Source organism: Homo sapiens, chromosome 4 (genome assembly GCF_000001405.40).
Source record: "Homo sapiens chromosome 4, GRCh38.p14 Primary Assembly".
Classification (NCBI taxonomy): Eukaryota; Metazoa; Chordata; class Mammalia; order Primates; family Hominidae; genus Homo; species Homo sapiens.
The window spans coordinates 6457993-6483664 of NC_000004.12; the positions used below are offsets into that span (position 1 = coordinate 6457993).

A 25672-nucleotide genomic window follows, 5' to 3' on the forward strand; every position below is an offset into this window, starting at 1 on the left:
CAACTCCTTTCCTGGTTTACATCAGTGTGTTCACCTTCACTCAACTCCTCTGGCTGCATATAAGAGCTTCTTGAAGGGTAGCTTCAGCTTCCCAAGATCATGGATTTCTTCTATGACTCCATTTACCTCCAATTTAAATTTCACTTCCAGCATTAACATCTTTCACATCTCTGCTGAGCATCATCTTTGCTGGCCAATTCCTTCTTTCAGTGATCTGTTTGTGTAAAACATCATGCAGGCTCATCACTGGGAGTGGCTTAGTCTGTTCAGGCTGCTATAACAAAATATCATAGACCGGGTGGCTTATAAACAACAAGCATTTATTCCTCACAATTCTGGAGGCTGGAAGTCCAAGATCAAGGCACAGCAGATTTGGTGTCCACTGAGGTCCAACTTCCTGACTCTCAAACAGTGCCTTCTCGCTGCGTCCTCACATGACAGAAGGGCAAGGGAGCTCTCTAAGGTCTTTTATAAGGGCACTAATCCCACCCATGAGGGCTCCACCCTCACAACCTCATCACTCCCAAAGTCCCCACCTTTTAAATACCCTCACATTGGGGGTCTGGATTTCAACCTGTGAATTTGGAGGGGGTACTTAAACATTCAGATCATAGCAGGAAGGCAAGGAGGCAGCACAACTACATGCTTTGCTGTCTGTGCATGAACTAACAGGTGTGTACAAGCAATCAGCAATGGCCTTTGGAAGATAGCAGGTGCTGAGCTGGCAGGGTGCAGCGGAAGCAGGCATGACCCAGCAGGCATGGTGTCTACTGACACGTTGTGGGATGGGACCCTGGGCTATGTTTCAGAAAGGCCTGGATTCCTGTCCTGTCTCATGATCTGAGCTGGGTCACCTCTCATTGCTGGGGCTGGTTTCCCATGTCTGTCAGTTATAAGCAACAGAGATTGACCCAGGCTAACACAAGCAAAGAAGGAAGTTACCGGAAGGCTCTGAGGGATCCACAGAATCATGGAGAGAACAGAACATCTAGACAAGTAGCCTGAGAAGGAGGAGGACCAGGAATTCAATGTCAGGAATCCATGACTCTTCCAGTTACCCACTGCTGTGTAACAAAGCACTTCAAAACTTAATGGCTTCAAGCAGAAACCATTTATTTGGTTCATGAATCTGCAGTTTGGGTAGATCTTGGTGGGAATGGCTCATCTCTGTTCCATATGGATGGCTTGCCTGAGGGCTGGAGGCTCTACCTGTAAGATGGCTCACTCACCTGCTGGCAAGGTGGTGCTGGATATTAGGCAGGCAGCTCAACCAGGACCTTGGTTCCTCTCTGCATGTGCCTCTCCACAAACTGCTTGGGCTTCCTCACAATATGGTGGCTGGCTCCAAGGCAGAAGCACATGACCTATTTTTTACTTAGCCTCCAAAGCTACACGGTGTCACCTCCTCCATATTGTTGGTTCTTCTCATGATTGTGGAATGGGAGATCCATGCTCAGCAGGACAAGAGTCATGACATCTAACCACATAAAATCAATGCTACCAGAAACAACAAACCAAGGGTCAGTGTTTGCAAGAGAGATGACAATTACAGTAGAGAAACAGGCCAAGAACGGTGCACAAAAAAACTTACAATTGAATATATGCCATGGTCAATAAATATAATAAAGGAAGTTCAATCTCACTGAAAAATGCTTTAAAAGAACACAGCCTATAATGCCAGCTTCTTGGGAGACTGAGAGACAAGAATTGCTTGAGCCTGGGAGGCAGAGGTTGCAGTGAGCCAAGATCACGACACTGCACTCCAGCCTGACCAACAGAGCAAGCCTCTGTCACACACACACAAAAAAACAGCAATTTTTACCATAATATTGGCAAATATTAAATATGTTGGATCTAGTCGCCACTAGCAATGCTCTGGGGAAAGGGAGTTGTTAGTACCAAGTTTGGTCATCAGGAAAAGTTGACATTAGATGAAGATACTTCAGAAAGACCAAACTCTCAGAAGCAGCCATTCCACACCCTAGGGAAATAACCAAATATGCACGCAAAAAGGTGCAAAGATGCCCTCACAACACTGCTCATGATCCTAAACCAACCATAACTTCTGATACCCACCAGCATGGAACTCTTTAAAATACATAGAAGAAGCATGTGACTGATATTACCAATGATGACGGGTGCTTTGGGCTGAAATGTGCCCCCTCCCCAAGATTCCTTTGTTGAAGTCCTAACCCCTAGAACCTCAAAATGTGACTGTGTTTGACAAAAAGGACCTTTAACAAGGTGACGAAGGTAAAATGCAGTCATATGGATGAGCCCTAACTCAATATGCCTGGTGTCCCTCTAAGGACACAGACACACACAGGAAAGACCATGTGAAGACACAGTAGGGAGATGTTCATCTATAAGCCAAGGAGAGGGGCCTCAGAAGGAATCAACCCTGCCAACACCTTGATCTTGGACTCCCAAGCTCTAGCACTGTGAGGCGGTAAGTCTCTGTTGTTTCAACTGCCCGGTATGTGGCACTGTGTTATAGAAGTCCCAGCAAGCTAAGAAAATGGGCTGTGTTATTTTCTAAGCTAGAAAGCTCCCATATCATTAAGAGAAAATTTTAAAGATTACAAAATAGGATACGCACACAGTAGATGCTCAAAAACCATCTTTCAGTGAATAAAAAAATGTAGGAATATATATATACCTAGATAGTATGTATACCCATAGGCAAAAACACATATACCAAAATATTTTCAGTGGTAGGATTTTCTTTTCCTCCTTTTCTCTTTCTAAATTTTCTGAACTTTTTGCTATGACTACATATGTTTTTTGTAGTAAGACAGCCAATAGAAATCAAAATACTTTCAAACAAAGGGAAATGCCCCATCTCCATCTGGTTCCACAATGTCAATAGGATACAATCCAAACTCCTTATCTCGGCATTTGAAGCCTTTCACAAACAGTCCTGCCTCCCACTTCCCATCCCGCTCCAGCTCCTCTCCCACTCCACCCCACCCCACACACATCCTCTAAATCTCAGTGGCCCACAGACCCCTCTCTACACAGGATGCCCTCTCCCAAGACACCAGCCTTTACCCCTGCTGCAGCCGAAGCCCGGAATCCCTCTCCTACCTGATCCACCTGGGCATCACCTATTTGGCTTTGCAGACTCAGCTCAGACATCGCCTCTCCCAGGAAGGCGTCCCTGACCTCCTAGCCACCGCATGACTCTGGACTCTGCATCTCACAGCACCGTGCACGTGTGGACACTGAAGCAGGGAGAGGGGAGGGTCAGGGGTTGAGTGAGGGTGTCTCCAGCACAGGATTCTTAGTAGGGTTTTTTGGACTGAGAATGTAAAGGTTTGTTTTGTGGGGTCATGTGGCAAAGATGGCAAGACATCCACCAAGATGCAGGTTCTTCCCACTGCAGAGTAGCCACTGGGCTGCCCAGCCAGGGACTACATTTCCTAGAGCCCCTTGCATTAGGTGGGGCCATGTGACTAGCTCTGGCCAATGGAATGTGAGGGAAGTCACAAGTGCCATGTCTGGGCCAAAGTGTTTAAGGAGGGAGTGCACCTTCCCCATACCCTCTTCCCCGGAGAATGGAGAGGACATGGGAGCTGACAGATGAGAAGGGTCTGGAGCCCCGCATCACTCTGTGGAAGAGACTCCTGGGCCAACTGGGATCATCCACAATGAACTGTTACAAAGGGATAAACTTCTATGACATCAAGCCCCTGGAATGTGGGGATTTCTTTGTAACTGGTATTAATCAGAGTAACAAACTGTCTTCAGCATCCAGACTTCCCAAGAGAACATCCCTCTTCCCTCAGAAAGTGCTGGTCCTGCTGTATGTAGTGACCAGCTGAGGGGTGTCTCCCCTACAGAAAGTGAGCACTGTGTGGGCAGGCGGTGGCTACCCCAGTTCCTGCCACATCCCCATCATGGGGGTAAGACAGGGACCCACAGGCACCAGGCCCACGGAGCACGTGGCATGCACCATCTCATTCAACACCCACCACATCCCAGAGAGGATGGTGCAGCCACGCTCACCCCCAGCTCAGATGTGGTCACCCAGGCACGGCCTGGCTGGACAACTTGCCCAAGATCACTCAGCCAGGGAGTGGCGAGGGCACCACTCTGCAGAAAGGGGTCCTGGAGGAGAGAGGGGCAGCCCCAAGGCCGATGCCCAGGTCCCAGCAACCACCTCTCAGCCTTCCAGACCCACAGGGCAAATGGAATCCAGGCACAAATTAGGGACAGTGGGAGTGACACTGTAATCTCTAAAATAATAATGAAGGCAGATTATCTGAGGTCAGGAGTTCAAGACCAGCCTGACCAACATGGTGAAACCCCGTCTCTACTAAAAATACAAAAATTAGTCGGGCGTGGTGGTGGGCACCTGTATGTAGTCCCAGCTGCTCAGGATGCTGAGGCAGGAGAATCACTTGAACCCGGGAGGCGGGGGTTTCAGTGAGCCAAGATCACGCCATTGTACTCCAGCCTGGGCGACAGAGTGAAACTCCGTCTTAAAAAAAATAAAATAAAATAATAACAAATGTCTTCAACAAGTTGGTAGCCTGAAAAGGGGATGGAGGCTGAGTCTAGGTCAGAAAAGACAAGAGACAGAACAGCCAAACGCAGGTGCAGGACTTTGGATCCTGGGCCAAACCACCCAACCATAAGAGACATTTCTCAGACAACTGGGGACGTTCATAAAATGGACCAGAATTTAGGTAACAAAGAATCAGGATATGTTTTGTGAGGTGGGATAACAGCACTGGGCTACAAGAAATGCCCTCAACACTCAGAGATGCCTGCAGATGGAACGGGGAAATGACAGGAGTCTTGGATTTGCCTAAAAATTCTTCATCCAAAAGCAGGGGAGAGTAAATGAAGGAAGTACAGCAAGATCTTGATAGATTGGAAGCAGTTCAATAGACTATTTTCTCACAAATGCAAAGAAGTTTCTCCTCTTGTAACAGTTGGCCAGCAGTCCCTTCCACAGAGTGATGAGGGGCTCCAGGGAGCGGCATCTCTCCCTTCTCTGGGACAGAGGGAGGGGGGAAGGTGCACTCCCTTCTTAAACACTTTGGCCCAGAAGTGGCACAAATTTGAAAGTTTGCATCAAAACTTTTTTGAAATTGTAAAAAAACATTCAGAAGCTAATCATGATCATGAAAGAGCTCCCTTTTATTGAGATTAACCTACAGAGTGTGCACTATTTCATTCAATTCTGCCTGAAAGCCTTGCTGGTTGGGAGCTCGCTCTCTCTCTGCTTCATAGATGGGGAAATTGCCCAGGGGATGAAGAAGCTGCCAAGGGCACGGCAGCTGTGCCAGACCCAGAGCACAGGCCTGGGAGCCCAAGCCCAGGTCCAGCCTCCAGCAGCAACAGTCCTGGTCCTGAGGAGGGGTGGGGGTGGGGCTGCAGGAGGCCAGGCCAGCCTGGAGGAGGCCCTTGGCCTGCAGTTGGAGATCCCATCCCTGCTTGCGGCAGCCCACACCCCAGCTGGGAACCTCTGAGCAGCCTTTGTTCTGCCTCAATGGGACATTCAGCCCTGGGTTCTGGAGGACAATGGCCCCCACTGTGCAAGGAGGGCAGTGCCTGTCCTGGGCAGCACAGGGGCCCCCAGGTGTGTCCTGCTCCCGGGCCGGCTGGCAACTAACTAACTGCCTCCTGGTCTCAAGCAGAGGAGCTGGACACTGTCAGGGGACAAGTGTTATGCCACTTTGCACACACCGTTCCTCCTGCCCAGAATGCGCTAGAATACCATGTCCCAGCACATCATCACCCCCCAACCTGGAAATGCCACCTGCCCTTCAGTCCCTGGACCACGTGTCCAATTGTGGCCTCTGCCACTGCCATCTACCTGTGCCGTGAAGGGGGTCTCTCCTCCTGCTGAACCCTCTCGATTGCCTTTCATCGCAACACAGATAGCAAGAGCACCAAGCCAGGTAGTCTAGTTCAAATCCCAAAATCTCCTAAGTGTGGTGCATAATCAGAACTGAACAGGCCACCTAACCCTGCCCTGTGGGTCCCAGCCAATTAATGTAGCAGTCAGGAGCGTGGGTTTGGCAGGCTGCATTCAAAACTCAGCTCTGTCCCTTACAAACTATGTGACATTGAACAAGCACCTCAGCCTCAGTTTTCTCCTCTGTAAAATGGGGAAATAATATACACAACATCAGGTCTGGGGCATCTCCAATGAGATGCACGCAGCCTCATGTCCAGCATATAGTATTATAGTACATAGCCAATAAATGGTGAATCATAATAATGGCTATTGTGTTTGTTTTGTAATTATTTCATCCTAAAGTCCACTTGGATCATTCTGCTCAAGGGCTTAATGGTGAGATGCCTGTCTTTGCAAGGCCCTGTGTAACTAACAGGACTCCCCAGGGTGCTGAGGGATGTACAGACTCCTCCAGCAGCTTCAGACTCTCTCCTGAGAAGTAGCTAGGTCCCGCAGTGGCACCCAAGACACTGGGAGAGGAGAGTCCACATTTCAAGGCAGACACAGCCTTGCTCTTCAACTTTGTATGTCTAGAATCTAATGTCACCCTGGCACATAACAGGGATCAGCCAATACCCGCTGAACAAAAGGAAAAAATGTTCAACCTCATTGGTATGCAGACGTGAATTACAATAAATATTTTTCATCTTTGATATTTGCAAAGGTCAAACAAATTAGACTACCTAATGTTGATCAGCATGTGGTTAAAGAGAAAAACTTTCTGGAGAATAATCTGCCAATGTGTGTCAACAACATTAAAAATGCTAGTGATCTTTATATGAAATAGCACGTGTGGAATTCCTTCTGAAGAGCATCATCCCAAGGTTAAGGGGGAACGATGGGAGTAGGGGGTCTTCACACACACAAATGGTGTTCATTCCTGCAGTGTTAGTTATGAAAATAAGAAAGTGTGTGGGGGAGAGACAGAGAGAGAGAGAAGGAAGGAAGGGAGGAAGGGAGGGAGGGAGGGAAGGGAGGGAACTAAATATCCAGCCATAAGGAAATGATTAATTGAACTACTGAATGATGACACATGTATCACAGGAATAGTATGCAGCCAATGAAATGATGGTTGTCAATACGTGTACTGTGTGACTTGGGGGCGGGGCCAAGGTAACCAGTCACCCCTCTTCCTTGCTGGGACTTGGGATTACACAGAAAAGACTGGCCGCAAGACAGGAATAAAAAAATCTGCTTTATTAATGGTAAACCTGTAGGAAAAAAAAGAGCTATGGACCCCTACTTCACCTCCCCACCCCTTGGTCCTGCGGGGAGAGGTAGGTCTAACTTCTAGCTTGTAAAATAAGATAACTGTTGGCCTCTCCCCTGTAGAGCAACCTGGAAGTCAGAGGCCCATGGACCCAATGGGTGAGAGAGGAGCACGGACATTTAATATTGTAACCCCTCCCCATAGGGAAGAGCTGCCCAATGGATGGCAGGCTCTCACCATTTCCACCAATCACGAAAGCCAAGGAGGTAGAAGGCAGGGCCAAGGAGTTCACCCTACCCAGAGTTCCAGCAGAGCAGGGCCAACCCTATAATTCGTGGGGCACAGGGAAAAATGAAAATGCAGAGCCTCTTATTCAAAAAGCAAAGGAAAAGCATCATTAAAGGTGCTAAGATACAAAACCTTTTCATGCCTTCCATATTTTGTCATGGTGTTATTTGCTATTTAATGTCAATTCAAATTTAAAAAAAAAAAAGCTTAAACTCTTAGCGTGCATTTTATCACTCACCATTCTAGTGTGCACCTCCAATTTTAAATGCAAACATAAGAGCACGTAACTGGAATGTAGACTCACCAAAATGCACAAGTTATATTTCGCATATGGATTTTGTTCTTACCAGAGCAGAGGAAACTAACTTAACTGTTCTTATTTCATTTCTGGATATGTGTACATTCTTCCAACACCCTCTACCCTTGGTTCAATAATAAACAAGGAAGGACTAGGAGGAAAAGGAACTATAGGTGCCCTCTTTTTCCCTTCCCTTCTGTGTAATCATTTTCAGTGTCAGCGATTGGCAAATATGGGCACGTAACACACGTTAAGAAAGGACACCATAGGGTTCCTGCGTCATTCATGTTTCTTAGAAGTCACTGCATGAGAACATCAATGCCTTGGAGCATTATTTGAAAGCATGGCCCCTGCCTGTGAAACTACAGACGCACTGAGAAGGTGCATGAGCTGTCCACTGTGCATGGGGCTCAGACGCTCAAGTGAACACAGGGTAGCGTGCTGTGGGAGCCAATATGTGTAACCACAGACTCGCCTGCCACACGTACCCCTCTGCTCATTCCCAGGCTCCCCCGTCCCATCAGATTTCGCTTACAAAACACAGGATCCAAAGTGAAATTCTTAAAAATTTCAAGATAGTAACAGCAGAACATGAACCCAAGCACAGGTCCTTCTGAGTGTGGGGACCTAGATGACCACACAGGTTGCATATCCATGAAGCCAGCCCTGGAGCAAAGCCCTGGAAAATTCCTATAATCTCATGCCAAACTAGAAAAGTAGCCTTCAAAATTGTTGATACAGACAGATTACAGTTTTCATTAAAAACAGACATGGGCATTAAAAAAAGACTGGAAGGAAATACCCCAGTTGCTGAGAGTATGTCCCTCTGCTTGGTGGACTCACAGGAGTTCACTCTCCTTCTCTTACTCCCCATCACACTCTCCATGGAGCCTAGCGCTTCATACAGCGGCTCTTCCAGTCTCAAGGCCTAAACACTTCTTACCAAACATCCCTTAGCTCTGCAAGCTTTAAGGATAAACACTAAAAAGTGTAGCAAATGACAACAGTCAGGAGATGGAGTGGAAAAATTTTATTAGAATTTGATTTTCATCTTCCAGAAAGAAAATGAGAAAAACCGTGCTCTGTGACTGCGCCAAGCTTTAAGTTCGGGTTGATTAAAAAGAAAGGAGCACATTGCTTACAGCAGGGGCGTGGGAGTTGGCCTACACTACAATTTGGGGAAATTGACAGCAGTCGCCTTTTACACGTGTAGAACTTCAGAGTCCACATGCCCTTGGCTCCTTACAGCCTCATGACAACCCAGGGCACCAGGCAGTGCAGGGAAACTGAGGCTCAGAAAGTGATGTGATTTGATGGAGGGCACCCCAGCACTGAAATGGAGCCCACACTCGCTGTGAAGCCCAAGGGAAGCTTATGTAAGTGGCGTTTCCAAACAGAAGCGAAAGGAACACAGAATCTGAACAGTCCACATCTTGATTTTCAAAAGTCAAAGGCTGACTCTCCCTAATCTCCCTCTGTGCCACCACTAATGTCCCCCCTCTTAGCCTCAGTTTCCCCATAGGTTGGGGTGGAAGTTAGGCTAGCCAGTCTGATGACAGTTCTAAGGGCTAGTCTAACTCTGGCCCCTAAAGAATAGACATCATCACTTACTGATCTATTAAGAATAAACTGAGGCTCAGAGAGACCGTGTGACCTGCCCAATATTACAGACCCAGGGTCAGACCCCACCAGGAACCCAGATCTCCCGATGCCAGATCTCAGGCTCTCTTATCTGACCAAAAATACCTCCTCAATAGGACTGAGGAGGGAAAACCAGAAATTGGCAACCTTGACTTGAGTGAAATGAAAGAGGGTTCTCAAAACAGAAAGCAAACAAAAATCCCTCTGGGTTTTATGTATCTCGAGTCTTAGCTGTGGGTTACAGATCAGCCTCCTGGTTTTCTTGATAAGCAGTCAGGGCTGTACGAGTTGGGGTGCTATGGGCTGCAAGTAACGGAGACTTGAAAGTGCACAACGAAAAGGAAAAGTAACAGCTCATGTAACTGGAAGTTCAGAGGCGGCCTGGACATCAGGCCTCTATGTCCTGGATCTCACTCACTCTCTGCCCTGCCATCAACGGTGGTGGCCTAAGACTTGCTCCCCTCATGGTGTCAGATGGCTGCCAGCCACCACAAGGTTTCCCTGTTCCCATCACAAGAGAGGGACCAACTACCTGTGGTTCTCCCTACTTTCCACTCAACCTCCAGAACTGACTCCCACATCCATTCTGGAACCAGTCACTGCAAGGGGAATGAGATCATCCTTGCACTGATCACATCCAGCTATGGCCTGAGATCTCTTACTAGGAACCATATGTGTTCTCCTTGGAAGAAGAGAGACTAACTGTTGTGGAGATCAGCTGCAACGTCCACCATAAGGGTGCAGATTTCACTGAATGCTGAGTCTCCCACAAGCAGCATCCCCTCTTCAGTGTGGTTTCCTGGGCAGAAAGTAGATGGTATCCAGGGCACAACCAGTTCAAAACCTGCAGACAATTCCATGCAGGAAAACCTGCCTGCCTGCTGCGTTCAGACAGCCTCAGGACCCCATGATGACCTTAGCAATTCCCAAGCATCCTTCACTTCCTCAACTATAAAATCAGGACAACTCTGTGGGAATAAACAGACTACTCTGAAATCACACAGGACATCCAGGGATGGGAGTTAGGAAAACATGGGTACATCCTTTATGCAGATGCAAAAAGCATGAGTGTCCAACAGTGTGTGATGGCTGAGATGCTCAAACAAGGGGAAGCTGTGCCTCTGGCCTCAGCTGAAAAGTGTGCTCCGGAAGTGCCTTACCTGTCAGGCACATGAGAGTGACTGTTGCTCCCCAGAAAGACCCAGTCACTGCCAGGATCTACCTGGTCAGCCTGAACCACCTCCCCTTGGCTGAGCTCCTGTGTCTTGGTCATCACTGCTGCCCAGGGCAGGATGTGCTTGGCAAATGGTGCTAAGCAAAGGAAGGATGGATGGGTTTTGTAAGTTCAGTCTAGTCTGGAAGTGCTTATTCAACTCACTCTAAAGCTAAGTACTGAGGCCTGCCGCAAAAAGAGAAAGAACAGAGCCAGGAAGAGTCCTTCCTGGAACCATATCCAGCTCTTGAGAAATGTCTAACTAGATGGAGACTTCCTAGCACCCTCCAGGGTCCAGGGCCCAGGGCCCAGTGCCCTATCAGCTGCACTGCTCTCCCCACACCCTGACCCCATTCATGCAAAGTTCTCTGTGCCCCCAGGTGGCCTGCAGGTACACCTAATCATCACCATAACCCTCAATGCAGTTGAGCCCAGCCAAGAGTAAGCCACCCAGCCCTGCCACCAAAAAAAAAAAAAAAAAAAAAAAAAAAAATCCAACCTGCTCTGACGAATTCACACCAAGATGTGAATGACTAACAAAACCTAAACTCTTCCTAAGATGTTTGAGATTTTACAAGAGACTCAGGAACCCAAGCAGGGCTCCCACGGGCAAAGATGACATTGGACATGGGGCCCAAAGGATGAGAAAGAGTCAGTGGTGAGAAAGGCAGGAGGTGGGTATTCCAGGCAACAGCCATTGCAAACGCCCTGAAGCAAGAAAGAAAATGGCCTGCTCAAGGAACAGGAGGTAGATCAGAGCAGCTGGGGTGTGGTGGGGGAGTGTAGACTCAACCACAGGTAGAACAGGAGTTTGTGCACCTGGTTCTTCCGCAAACTGAATTTTAGCATCCACTGTTTGCCCACAGGCTCTTCCAGTTACAAGGCATATAAATAATAACAATGCCATGTGTTCAATGCCTCCAACAACCCAAGCACTGTGCTGGGCACTTTTGATATTAGCAAAATCACTGATCATCCCAGCAACCCTGTATGAAAGGTCGTTATTATTTCTCCCTTTACAAAGGGAAAGTGAAGCTCAGGAAGGTGTAGTAACTTGTCCAAGGCTGCACAGCAGTCAGGAGTCAGAGGCAGGACTTTAACATGATTCAAGTCTGACATTCTGACATTCAAATCTGTGACCTTCCCTGTGCTCTGAGCATGAAATATAGTCAGGATGCAACAGTGTGAAAGTGTGTTTTTCATTAGGGAGGCCAGAATTCTACCTATTATAATGATTATTATTGTTTCTTGTTCCGATCCTGCTCTCTGCATCCGCAGCACCTGAGCCCTATGCCCTGCACACACTGGCACTCGGTCTGGACCAGGCACAAGGCCAGGCCTTGGTTTGTTCATCTCAAGGTGGGGATAAGGCGTAGGTGAGCCTTCGTATGAGGTCCCAGCACACAGCAGGTGCTCAGCATCCTTTGGCTGCACGTTAGCAATGCATAGCTCTGAACGGCTCCTTCAACACCGTTGCACCTGCTCCTCACAGAAACCTCCAGACCCTGTAGGCAGGATTCACTCCCATTTTACAGATGGGGAGACTGAGCCCTGGTGAGAAGACAGACCTCAAGGTCATATAGCTCCCTGATAGAATTCAGGCCGCACAAGGGCAGGGAGTCTTTGTCCAGTCCCCAGGGATAAAACAGTGCCCGGCATGCAGCAGGTGCTCGGTAAATATCTCGTGTCTGGATGAAGGATTGGATAGCACTGCTCTGACCTCCAGAACTGTGCCGTCCCCGTTCCTGTGCCCTGCTGAGGGCTGGTGAATTTATGAAAGAAAAGGGGACGGGCAGGGTGCAGAGGGAATTAATGTTTGAAAATGTCCACCATGGCGCTTTTTACGCCTGGTCCCACAACGAGCCCTGCGCCCCATCCCACCGTCATCCCCAACGTAGAGATGAGCAAACAGAGGCTTGCTCCAGGAAGCCAGACCACAGCGAGCCTGGGAGCAGCGGGGCAACCTGCCAAGATCCGCTCTCGGCCCGAGCCAGGCCACCGAGGCACGGGCCAGCAACCCGGCGGCTTCCTCCAACCCTCTGTCGCTGCAGGCTGCGAGCAGAAACCACATCCCGGACCCACGCTGATCCCGACTCAGCCTCGCCGAAGCAGGCGACAAAGGACCGCTCTCAGCTCCCCGGGCCTCCCAAAGCCGCGGCCGGGTCAGAGCCCCACCGGCCCGGAGGCCCGGGCAGCCCTGCCCCTCTCTCGCACACACCCGGCGGCGAAGCGTGCGTGACTCAGCGGTTCTCCCGCCGGGAGCGGGCGCGGCCCCCGCAGCCTCCCTCCGCCCAGGTCCCACGCCCAGCCTCTGCCTCCCGGGCCAGGGCGCCCCGAGCCCGCCCGCGCCCGCGCTCGCGCTGCGCTCCCCGGGCCTCCGCGGGGCTCCGGCTCCGCTCGGCCTCATTTCCGGCAGAGCCAGGCTTCGAGGAGGCGGACCCAGCCGCAGGAGCCCGGTCTCCGCCGCCTGGCCCACTCGGTCTCCCTGACACAGGCACCCACGCGCACCTGCCCCGCGGGACCCGTGCCCAGGGCCCCTCCCACTGGGGCACCCACCCGGGGAATCCGCGCACACTTCTGCGGCCGGGCCGCCAGCCCGTGGGTTAGCGGCTGACAGTCCCCGCACTCGGGCAGGGCTCCAGCACAGGCGGCCCCGAGCCCAGACCTCCCGGTCCCCATCCTCCATCGGGGTCACTCCGCGGGCCCTGCCTGCGCACGGAAGCTGTCCCCACTGTTCCCCTAGCGAGGCAGACCAGGGGGCCCCCGGAAGTTCCAGGCCTGTAAGAGAGGGGCGCTGACCCACCAGCCTCGGGGGTAGGGTGGGGGTGGGGGTTGGGCTTGTAGGGCCAACTTAGGGGATTTTAAACAGGGCCTGTTTGGGATGGCATGTCCCACTTTTTTGGAAAATCCCGACAGTTAGCCCAGCTGCTCCTGTCTCAATATAACTCACCAGGAATAAAAAGGCCAGCCCCAAACCAGCCGCCTTCTCCCTCCCACTCAGGGACCCTGCCTCTGGAGGACAGGGAGGGGCCCGGGCAGGCGGGCCTCCCAGGAGGATCTGGCAATGGATTATGTTTTTTTCCCCCCGGGTCCCTCTTCTTCTCCAGGGAGAGGGCAGCCTAGAAAATTCTGCGGGCTTTGGGCAGGGCTGAAATGGCAAATCCAGGATTTAAACCATTAAATTTCCCCGAGATTTCTTCACCAGATTAGCCACAGCCGTGGCCTTTTAAAAAATTATGGTCAGGGCCGAATCAGGATGCCACCTGGCTTGGGAGAGGAAAGCTGCCTCCCGGAGGGCGGCGCGGAGGAGGGCGCTGCCCTGTGCCGGCGCTGGGCAGCGGAGGCCGGTACCCTCGGGCTCCCTCCCTCCTGGGCCCCGGGCAGGGTGGGATGGGATGGGGTGGGGTGGGGTGGGATGGGGTGGGGTGGGGTGGGGCGGGGGGACACGACACACATCGCGCGGTCCAAACCTTCGGAGGGCATTCGGTGCGACGGCATCCCCACGCCGCGGCCGGCCGGAGGGGTCTCAGACAACACGTACGTTACCTTCAGTCACATAGCTGTGGTCCCGCAGGAAGCTGTGGTTAATTTTCCGCGTGTCCGTGTCCTCGCCCATTGAAGGCCGTGCCCGGTGCTCTGGGCATGCCCCGCCGCCACACACCGATGCAATCCGCAGAGGTCGCGCCGGGCGCGCGGGCCATGCCGCCGCAGCCTAGCAGGGGCGCGGGCCGCCGGGGCCCCGAAGGGAGGGCATCGCGGCAGGGGGACGGGCGGGGGCGGCCGGGGGCGGGCGCCGCGGTCAAGCGAGCGCGCGGTGGGCGGGCGGCGGCCGCGGGTTCGGGCGGGCCGGGGCCCAGGCGCGCATCCCGGCCGGCCCGTGCGCGCTGCGTCCGTGCGCCCGGCGGCGGGGCCTGGTGCCGGTGCGCCTGGCTGCGGCGACGGCGGCGAGGGGACGCGCGCGGCGCTGCGCTGCGCCGACCAAGCCGGGGCCGAGCCGGGCTGCGCGGGCTGGGGCCGCCGCCGCCGCCGCTGTCGCAGGCCCCTCCCTCGCGCCGCCCGCTCTCCGCCCCCGCGGCCCTGCAGGTGGAGCCGGCGCCCAAGCCGAGGCTGCACCGCCGTGCTCGGGCCCTCGCGGTGGGCACCTTGGTGCTGGGTGCGCCACGGGGGAGGGAGGAAGGAGACCGCCAGCTTGCGGGGAGAGGGTGATCAGCTGAGCTTGGGGGGAGGGTACCTTGGGTGCCCAGGTGCTCCAGTTATGGGAGAGAAGGCCAAGAGCCGGGGTGCTGGGAAGGGGGCAGGAGGAGAGCAGCCTCGCAGGCAGAAGGCAGAAAGGACTAGGAAGGAAGGAGTGGGGTCGCAGTTGAAGAGGGCGCACCTGGAGAATGGGGACTCGGGGGAGGGGAAGGACACTGTCTCCCTTCATTAGTAGAAGAGGGTGGGTCGCGCAAGTTCTGGGGCCCGTTGGGAGCATTAAGTACATGTGAAGAAGCTGGTGGAGGGGGTCCAGCAGCCGACAAGGCAAAACTGGATGAAATGGCTGGAGGGGTGATTGGGCCTCCCCCAGGCAGGGCTCTGAGATCTCTCCTCATGCCCACCTCTCCTGACGAGTGAGAAAGTTAAAGAAATACAGAGCTAGGTACCTCCAAAACCAGGCTGGAAAATGCGTCCCCCTCCTCCCTTCCCTCCCTCCCCTCCAAACCCAGGGCTCTGCCAAACAGGAACCTCCCTCTGGTAATCAGCCTGGCACATAGTGGGCCCTCAAAAAATATTTGCCTCCTGTTTTGCCAAGCTGCCACCTCCTCCACCGTGACCCACCGCCTAATGAATCACAGTCCCCTGCACGGGACACAAGCCCCAGTGGGGATTCAGAGGTGTGGGTGAGGAACCATCAGCCCTCCCTAGGAGCTCAACAGAGCCTTCCTGGAAAGCGAGGGACTCTGTGGCTTGCCTGGGAGGGGTAAGTGCAGTGGGGTGACCAGAGCTGCAGGGGCTCTTGGGTCTAAGGCATCAGTGGAGCCATGCTCCAGGTGGGGGCTGGTCTGTAATGGCCTCCACTTGTTTCAAATGGTTCTGGGGGAACTCCAGACAGCTCCCCAAACTGCAGTGGAGGTAGGAGAGTCCAAAGGCGTTGGGGGCAGGGAGACTGGGGCTGTGGGAAAGACGAGGGAAGGTGATGCCGTCTCAGATTTCTTGGAGATTGAGAGGGAGTTTTTGAAGCTACAGCTTTCGTGCCTTTGAAATCCCCAGAATGGACCTATGAGGAGATGAAAGCCCCCCAGCAGCCCCACCAGCACTCTGCAGGCTGTCATGCAAGGGCTGGCCTGGGGAGAGGCCCTGGGGCCCTGCCAGCACCTGCTTTGGCAAGTGCCCTGCCCTGTTCCAGCCTCTACCTTTTCACTGTGGAACAAGCCAAAATCTCCCAGCTGTGCAGACTCCATTCAAGGACCAGGTAAATGCAAGGGCCGGAAGGATGTGCTTGTTCTTTGTCACTTTCTACCCCGTAGGAAAGTGACCGACACCCACATTGGCCCCCACCCACCTGGCATGTTCTCCTCTCTCTCTCTCACCTGTCTGCTCACATGCCCCCCACCTCACATCCTAAGGCCAGCCCCCCACTCTCTGTCCACACCCCCTCACCTCTCTAGCTGGAGCCAGCAAAATGGCTATGCTGGGAGAAAGACAGGCTGGGTTCAAGTCCTGACCACAAGGGGGCCCAGGCACAACCTCATCTGTAAAGTGGATGTGATGGCAGGAGTGGCCCCACTGGGTTGGGGTGGCCAGTCCTGCTCAGCAGGGGTCAGGCCTCCTGGGAGCTCTCTTGTTATCATGCTGAGGCCCACCCTCCCGCATGTTCCTCAGCCTCCCTCTCTGATCATGGAGAAGTCCCCTCTCCCTATCTGTCAATCCTGCCAAAACACCCACCCTATGCTGGCATCAGCCTCATCTCCCGGGATGTCCTGGACTACAATGAAAACAGCCCCACTCTGGCCTGACACAGTACATCATCCCTTTCATCAGCTTCTGAGCCATGCTGGGGACCCTGCAGTGGGTGGTCTTTCCAACCTGACTGGGCCCCAAGGCTTGCATCCATCCCCTCCTCACCCCTCACCACCCCATCCTGCCCCACCCCCACCACAAGCAGTGTCTGGGCTCCTCCACACTGTCTCCTCCATTTCCTGGAAGCCCTCCCCCTCCAGCACAACCGAGGACTCTCCCTCAGCCCCCTGCCCACCCCCCACCTCCACTAAATCACACAATCTGCTGCTTCCTCATCTGTATCTGCACACAGCCCTGCCCCCGCTGACAGAGCCTGAGCTCCAGATCCTGCCACCCCCAGCCTCTCTGTACAGACTCCTCTCTGTACTTTCATTCATTCAATGAGGAATGTTTATTGAGCATCTACTATGTGTAGGCATGTTCCCAGCACTAGGGTAGTGTGGAAGACAGAATAGAGAAATGCTCTGCTCTCGTGGAGCTGGCCTCCCAGTGGGGTGAGATGGACAGCATAAAGTGAGCATGTACTGTGTGGGCCATGACTGGTGCAGAGGAGAAGGCGGGAATGGAGATGGAGATGAACGGGGATGGAGATGGGGATGGAGATGGAGATGAAGGCGGGGATGGAGATGGAGATAGAAAGGAACGGGGAGGAGGAGGTGCCATTTTATAAAGGTGAGTGTAGAGGAAAGCTCAATAAGGTGAAATTTGTCAGCATCTCTCCAGATGCTTCTCACAGCGTAAGCCTGCTTGGGTCTCTTCCACATTCAAAAGCTATCCTCACTCCGTGTCCCTTCAGCCACCAGCACATTGCATTTCTGCCATTCACAACCACAATGCCAAAAGGGTACAGCTACACTCGCCATCTCCTCACTCACTGCCGTGCCCTCCAACCTGGCTTCTTGCCATCCATCCCACCCCAGAAAAGAAACTTGTGTCAGACGGCATGAGAATGACTTTCCTGTTCCTGGAACCAGTGGACGCATGCTGGCCTCTCTCTATGCTGAGTTCTCGTGGTCTCACCCTGTGGACCATGCGCCTCCCTTTACTTCAGTGGCACCACCTTTCGCTGCCACTTCTCAGCAGGTTTACATGCTCCACTCCTTCTGACGGCCCCACCAGGCTATGTCTCCCTGTGCTTCTGTGCCCCCAACTTGTTGTAATTGACAGAGAGAACATGCATGGAAAGTGTGCTGTGCACCGCACCATGTCCCCTCAAGTGCACAGGCTGAAGCCCTAACCCCCAATGTGATGATGTTTGCAGGTGGGGCCTTTGGGAGATTTGGGTTAGACAAGGCCATGAGGGTGGGGTCTTCATGGAGAGATTAGTGCCCCTATAGGAAGAGACCAAAGAGCTTGCCCACTCTCTCCCCAGGTGCTCACGGGAGCACACGGCGAGACAGTGGCCGCCTGCAAACCAGGAAGGGGCCTCACCATGAACCAGATTGGCCAGAACCTTGATGTTGGACTTTCCAGCCTCCAGAACTGGGAGGAAGTACATTTCTGTTGTTTACGCCACTTATCCTATCTTGTTTATTATGGCAGCCCAAGCCGACTGCACAAAAGTTAACTGTTCAGCTTGAAGAACGACCACAAAGTAAACACTCATCTAACCACCAAGTCAGGAAAGGGCGCTAGCCACCTCTCGAGGCCTCCCTCACTCCCCTCTCTCTCCACTTCCATGGACTGAACAGCTGTTGACTCCCAAAATTCATATATTGAAATCCTGTCCCCTAATGTGATGGTTTTAGGAGGTGGGGTCTTTGAGAGGTGATTAGGTCCCAAGGGTGGGGCCCTCATAATGGGATTAGCCGCCTTATAAGAAGAGACGTGAGAGAGTTTGCTTCCCCTCTCTGTCCCTCTCCCTCTCTCTCTGTCATATGAGGACACAACAAGAAGTTGGCTATCCACAAATCAGGAAGCCCTCATCAGACACAGGATCTGCCGGCACTTTGACCTTGGACTTCCCAGCCTCCATTACTGTGAAAAATAGATTGTGGTTTATGCCGTCCAGGCTACAGTATTTTTGTTCTAGCAGTCCAAACTGACTAAGACACCACCCCAAAGATAACCCCCATCTTGACTTTTAACACTGTAGTTTTACTAGTTTACTAGTAAATTGTAAGGTAGGAATGTTTTCATAACTGCTTTCATTTGCACAATGTTTTTTTTCTGAGAAGCACTCATGTTATTTATATATATGTAACTGTAATTTATTCATTTTTCATTGTTGTGTAATATTCTATGGCAGAAATACACTGCAGCTGACCCCACTGTTGTTGGGCACATAGGTTGTTTGTTCAGTGTGGAGGCTAATTATGAACAACAATTCTGTGGCTCAGCATTCATGTGTACACAATTCTGGGAACTGGCTGGGTGCAGCAGTTCATATCACCAGCACTCTGGGAGGCTGAGGCAGGCAGATTGCTTGAGCCCAGGAGTTCAAGACCAGCCGAGGCAACATGGGAGACCCCGTCTCTACTAAAAAAATGCAAAAATTAGCCAGGCATGGTGGTGCATGCTTGTGGTCCGAGCTACTCGGGATGCTGAGGATCACTTGAGCCTTGGAGACAGGGGTTGCAGTGAGCCAGGATGGTGCCACACTGCACTCCAGCCTGGGCCACACAGCAAGATTCTCTTCAAAAGAAATTCTAGGAATTGCTGAGTGATAGGGTCTGTTTGTTTAGCTTTAGTCATGGACGTCAACCAGTTTACCAAAGAGGTAACAGAAGATTGTCCCTGTTGATCCACAACCTTCTTAAATGAGGTATTGTCATTTTGATTCTAGCCATTCATCACCTCTAACGCCAAACCCAGCATCCTCTCTTAAAACTGGAGGCTGGGCACGGTGCCTCACGCCTGTAATCCCAGCACTTTGGGAGGCTGAGGCGGGTGGATCACAAGGTCAGGAGATCAAGACCATCCTGGCTAACACGGTGAAACCCCATCTCTACTAAAAATACAAAAAATTAGCCGGGCATGGTGGTGGGCGCCTGTTGTCCCAACTACTCAGGAGGCTGAGGCAGGAGAAGGGTGTGAACCCGGGAGGCGGAGCTTGCAGTGAGCCAAGATCGCGGCACTGTACTCCACTCCAGCCTGGGCGACAGAGCGAGACTCCGTCTCAAAAAAAAAAAAAAAAAAAAAAACTGGAACTGGACCTCCTCTTTGTCTGCACTTAGGATGCACTGGAGTCATCCCGACTCCCACGCCTTCACCCCCCACAGCCTGTCCTCCTTCCAGCCCTGTCGACATGCACTCACACAGAGCTCTCCAGCCCTTCCCCTCCTTGAGCCAGCCTCCTCACTCTGCCAGAATTCAGAGCCTCACCCCTCCCTCATGTGGTCCGTGTTCCCCTTCCTGGTTCAGATGTTTCCAGGCTCCCAGCTCCATATGACAACATCTCAGCTCAAAGGTCTTCACAGTCTGGCCCCAACTGCGTCTCCAGCCAACTCCCTGTGTGCCCCGTTGCTTCTTCCCTGGACAGCTGCCCTTCCCAAACTCTACATCTGCACACACTCATGCTCCCGCCGACAGTGCCATCCCTACGTCTCACCTTTTCTCCATTTGGAATTAGCCTAAATGCTATGATTAATGGTGACTCTAGCAGCGGCTAGCATTTATTGAATGGCCACAGGGGAGGTCATTAGTGCTGACCACACACATCCTGCTTCTCGCCTCCTTCTGTGCCTGGGGTAGATTCGCACTTTCCCATCCCTTTTAATATTAGGTGTAGTCATGAGACTTGCTTTGCAGAGTACAAGGTGAGGTGAGTGACTAGCGTCTCTTCTGAGTGCAGCTTCAGTGGCCTCTGTAGGGTTTGACAAATTCTTTTTTTCACTGACTCAGGATCTTGGAAAAGCACTCCTCAAGAGAGATTGTCCATCAGCCCGAGTCCTTAATTGAGTACAAATAACAGGGCCCTGTTCGATGTGCTGAGTGAGTGAGAAACACGCATGTGATATGTTTTGTCACTGAGAGTTGTGGGTTGTTGGTGACAGCAGCACATCCTCACCTACCTGCCTGCTACCTCCCCCTTTGCCAGCTGGTGGCTGAGCACTTCACATAGGTGACTTCATTCTGTCCTCAACACATGACAGCCCTGCCTCAGCCGGAATGAACTAGAAGACCACAGCCGTGAATGACCCTCCAAAACGCAGCGGCTTCAAGGCTATTTCGCACTCCTGCTGCGTGTGCATCTCGAGTGGGCTACAGCTCTGACCCCTGTTATCTTCTTCCCGGGACCCCGGCTGATGGAGCTGCACATGGCTGGCTTTGTGCAGAGGTAACAGAGAGAGACAGGGGTGGTGAGCTCACTCTACAGCGTCGCTGGCCCAAACAATTCACAAAACCACCACATGCAAGTTCAGTAAGGGCAGGGAGGGCACTGAGGGTCACATGGCCACGTGACCTCAGCGGAGCGTGCAAGTACAGTCTCCCTCCAGGATGGGGCTGCTAATACGTTGCACTATAACACAGCCAACCACAGGACCCACTTTACAAATGAACAAACCGCACCTTTCTCCCAAGTTACTCAGCTCCTAAGTGGCAATCCAGAGATGTACCCAGGTCTGTGATTCCAGGGCTGGTATAGTCAGCCCATATACCAGCTGGTATAATACAGCAGCTAGCTGTCCTAACCTAGCTGCTTCTCTGCCAGCATTCCCCTCCATGACCCCCAGGTCCCAGGACCAAGCTTCCAGGTGGCTCTCTTGGCTTGTTCGACCACTTTGAACCTCATAGAGGCTGGGCAAATAGTGCCGCAATGGATCTTTCCTCCAGTGAAATGATAAGACGAAAGCCCACCCACCCCACCCACAACCCAGGTCGCCATGCCTCTGGACGGAGAGAAAATGTCTTGGAATTCTGAAATATGCCAAGACCCAGCAAATGAAGACGAAGTCTGTGTGGAAGGGCCCAGAGCCATAATCCAGCCCAACACCCTCAAGGTTAGTGAATTTCTGCCCCTGCACGAGTAACACTTGCTTGTGACAGAAAATTTGGAAGTAAAGGAAAATATAAAAGTTATGGTCCTGAGTCCAAATGTAATTGCCAGAAACCTTTTAGAGTGTGTTATCCCAGGACCTTTTCAACGTAGAGTTTTGTTTTTACATAATCATGATCAGACCTTTTTTTTTTTGTATTTTATTTGTTTTAGTGACATATTTTAAATGGACTAAAATGTATTATTACAATCCCCTACCTTTTGAATATTGATTCAAAAGGAATCAATATTAGCATTGACATATTCGCTTCAGCTTTCTTTTTTACTTTTATTTTATTTTTTGTAGACACAGGGTCTCACTATGTTGCCCAGGCCCGTCTCTAATTCCTGGACTCAAGCAATCCTCTCACCTTAGCCACTGAAGTAGCTGGGACTACACACACAAGCCAAAGTGCCCAGCTTTGCTTCGGTTCTTTTCATTTGAAAAATGAGACCACAGAGATATGGCTGAAGTTCCTTTACATCCCTTCCTAGTCCTCATCTTTCCTTTCTCTTTCCAGAGGCAAACACTATCCCCAAAGTAGTGCTTTCTTCCTATTTATGTTCTATTCCTTAACATACATACATGCATTGTACCATTTTATGTAATTTAGAAATTTATATAAACCTGATCATATTGATCACACCATACTACAAACTGCTTTTTTTCCTAAGCATTATGTTTTCAGCTCTACCCTAGTTTCTTCATTGATCTTGCAAGCTGGCAGAAAACAATCAATGGTGTGCCGGAGCTTGCCCCAAGAACCTTCTCGCAAGAGCTGATCATGCATATCTTTTCCCAACTCTGTGTTTGATGATGTCACGATGGTAGCTAGACATCAGCCATGGCAGAGTATTTACATCCCAGAAATTGGCAAATTCTCCAAATTAAGGCTTTTTTTCCTGGATAGCAGGTTGTTAAATATTTACGAGCATACCATTAATGTATTATTTCTTCTACCTGCTGTCCACCCACCCACATAATATTTAGGTTGTTTCTAACCTTTTTGGATTTCAAACAACACTGCAGGTACATCCTTTTACTTAGTTCCTCATAGCCTGCAGTGTAAAGGTTTCCTAGGATGGACAGGTGGAGGGCGAGACCACTGAGTCATACTGGTGACATTCCTTCTGGGTCATGCATACTGGAATATATACATATTTAACTTCCTACTCATTGCCAAATAGAGAAGCAATTTACACTCCTACAGCAGTGTATCACATTCTCAAGTGACACTTGGAATAGACTTAAATTCATGTGAAGTTGATGGGTGAACGGGTATGTGATGATTGCTTACTTTGCATTTCCTGATTCCTAGTGTTTGGGAATCTTTCCACTTGGCCATTTGAATTTCCTCTTCGATGAATCGCCTGTCTTTTCCCATTGCCCATGTCTCCATTGGATTGTGTGACTTTCTCCTTATTGGCTTCCCAGAGCTTTTGATATAATTGTATCCTCTGCTGTTTATATGTGTTGCAAACCTATCCTCTGTCTGTTTCTATGTTGCAAACATTCTCTTCTAATTTGCTGTTTTTGTCTTAACTTTGTTTATGGTATTCTTGTCCTACAGAAGTCATTCATTTTGATGTAGGAAATGTATCAATATTTATCTTTCAGGCATTTTGCCTTTTGTGTTCTGTTTTACCAATACTTGTCTACCCGCTGAGTTATAAAGGTAGTAAACAGAATGTCCTTCCTTTATGTTTTAGGACGTATACTTACCTCATTTACAGTATGCTTTTCTGTTTGGGGTGAGGCAGTGATCAAATTACATACTTTTTCCATATGAAGAAAATAATATCCAAATCATTCATTGAATAGTCCATCCTTTTCCCACTGATTTAAAATGCCACTTCTTTTCTATACGAAGTTCCCATATACATGTGCCTTTATTTCTGGATTCTCTATTCTGTTCCATTGGTCTTTCTGTCTGGCCCATGTGGCAGTACTACCCTGCCGTAGAGAGACAGCTTTATAACAAGTCAATATCAAGTAGGTCAAATGGCACAGTCTTTGCCTTTCATCAAAATTGTCTTGGTTATTCTTGGACTTTTGTTTTTCCTATGCAAATTTTCAGTTTTGTAGATCCCATTGAAAATCCTGTTGGGGCCCGGCATGGTAACTCACGCCTGTAATCCCAACACTTTGGGAGGCTGAGGCATGTGGATCACCTGAGGTCAGGAGTTCGAGACAAGCCTGGTCAACATGATGAGACCCCATCTCTACTAAAAATACAAAAATCAGCCAGGCATGGTGGCACGTGCCTGTAGTCCCAGCTATTCCGGAGGCTGAGGCAGAAGAATAGCTTGAAGCCGGGAGGCAGAGGCTGCAGTGAGCCGAGATCGCACCACTGCACTCCAGCCTGGGTGACAGAGCGAGACTCCGTCTCAAAAAAAAAAAAAAAAAAAAAAAAAAGTAAAAAGGAAATCCTGTTGGGATTTTCACTGAAACTTCAATTAGCTTATAATTAACCAGGAAAAAATAGACACCTTTCTGATATTGAATCATCCCATCAATGGATATGGTCTATCTCTGTATTTATTCAGCTCTTCTTTCATGTCCTTCAATTAAATTTTATAATTTTCTTCATAACAATAACAACCATTTATATAGAAGTTAATATGTGCCAGCTACTGTTCTAAACACCTTATATTTGTAAACTCAATTAATCTTCCCAGCTTCCCTGTGAGGTGAATATTATTATTATCTCCCTTGTACAAATGAGGAAACTGAGGCACCAAGTGATCAAGTAATTTTCCCAAGCCAGGAAGCAGTAGGGCCATGACCTGAAGCCAGACAATCTGGATTAGGATCCTCTGCTGTGAACCACTGAACCACTCTCCTATACTACCTCCGAAAGGGCTGGTACATCTTTTGTTAGATTTTCTCTTAAGCGTCTTATAGATTTTACTGCTACTGTAAATAGGATTTGCCCCTTCTTACATGTTCTAATTGGTACTGTTGTTCAGTAGGAAGGCTATTGATTTCACTATGTTGTCCTGTGTCCAGCAATTTTGTTGAACTGTCACATGCTTCTAATAGTTTGAGAGCAGATTCTCTTGGATTTTCTACGTAGACAATTATGTCATCTGCAATTAAACACAATTTTGGCTTTTCCTTGCTGTCCTTAACCCACTTGCTGTCTAGTCGTTAGTTCCAATGCAAGGCAGTATTGAACAGCAGTGGTGGTAGGTTTCTTTGTCTTAGTTCTAGCAATGATTTCAAAGTTTCATCATGAAAAATGATGTTTGCTATCAGGTTTTGATAGATGCCCTTTCTCGGGTTGAGTAAATTCCTTTCCTGGTTTTCTGAGAGCGTTTCCTTAGAATAAGTATTAAAATTTGTCTAATGTGGATGCTTTTTGTTTGGCTGCTTGCTTTGTTTTGTGGTATCTATTAATAAGAATATGACTTTAGCCTTTAATCTATTAAAGAAGTAAATTAAGTTAACATTTTTTGTCTTTAACTATCCTGACATTCCTAGGGTGAACTTCACATGGTAATTAGATGACTGATAGATAAATGGATAGATAGATAGATAGATAGATAGATAGATTGATTGATTGATAGATAGACGATAGATAGAGCCATATTTGTTTTGCTAATATCTTTGAGTTTTGCACCTATGTTTAGAAGTCATATTGATTAATAATTTTCTTTTCTTGCAATTTTCTAGCAAGTTTGTACTAACATCATAAATTGAAGAACTTCCACTTTTTATGTTTTTATAGAATAGTTTGTGTTATTATAGAGATCATATTCCAAAGTTTCCAAAGTGGTTATATCATTTTACGTTCCCATCAGCAGTATATAAGAGTTCCAGTTTCTCCATATCCTCACCAAAATTTGGTATAGTCAGCCTTTTTAATGATAGCCATTCTAACAGTTATGTAATAGTAGTATCTCATTGTAGTTTCAGTTTGCATTACCCCCGTGACTAATGATGTTGCTCATCTTTTCGTGTGCTTATTTGCCATCTGTATATCATTTTGGTGAAATGTCTGTTCAGACATTTTGTCCACTTATTAATTGGGTTGTTTGCCTTCTTACTATTGAGTTTTGAGAATCCTTTATAT

General features: G+C 49.9%; 1 protein-coding gene across 6 annotated transcripts in view, besides 3 other annotated features; it reads right to left on the reverse strand.

Moving 5' to 3' along the window:
* PPP2R2C (protein phosphatase 2 regulatory subunit Bgamma) overlaps positions 1–25672 on the reverse strand; it is a 243219-nt gene that overhangs the window by 137412 nt on the left and 80135 nt on the right. The window contains exon 1 of one of the 6 annotated variants that reach the window (NM_020416.4): positions 14168–14622. The exons of 4 other annotated variants lie outside the window; for them this stretch is intronic. In NM_020416.4, coding sequence (NP_065149.2) covers positions 14168–14237 — 70 coding nt within the window. In that variant the 5' untranslated portion in view covers positions 14238–14622. Of the gene's footprint in view, positions 1–14091; positions 14623–25672 lie in introns of those variants that run through there. One more of the 6 variants, NM_001363388.2, reaches the window with a different exon arrangement.
* Positions 4980–5525: an enhancer, noted in NCBI's record as "H3K4me1 hESC enhancer chr4:6464699-6465244 (GRCh37/hg19 assembly coordinates)". NCBI's record gives its function as "activates a minimal SCP1, AML or CMV promoter by ChIP-STARR-seq in naive H9 embryonic stem cells {active_cell/tissue: H9 hESC(naive)}" and the evidence as "EXISTENCE:reporter gene assay evidence [ECO:0000049][PMID:30033119]".
* Positions 5526–6071: an enhancer, noted in NCBI's record as "H3K4me1 hESC enhancer chr4:6465245-6465790 (GRCh37/hg19 assembly coordinates)". NCBI's record gives its function as "activates a minimal SCP1, AML or CMV promoter by ChIP-STARR-seq in naive H9 embryonic stem cells {active_cell/tissue: H9 hESC(naive)}" and the evidence as "EXISTENCE:reporter gene assay evidence [ECO:0000049][PMID:30033119]".
* Positions 12101–12931: an enhancer, noted in NCBI's record as "H3K4me1 hESC enhancer chr4:6471820-6472650 (GRCh37/hg19 assembly coordinates)". NCBI's record gives its function as "activates a minimal SCP1, AML or CMV promoter by ChIP-STARR-seq in naive H9 embryonic stem cells {active_cell/tissue: H9 hESC(naive)}" and the evidence as "EXISTENCE:reporter gene assay evidence [ECO:0000049][PMID:30033119]".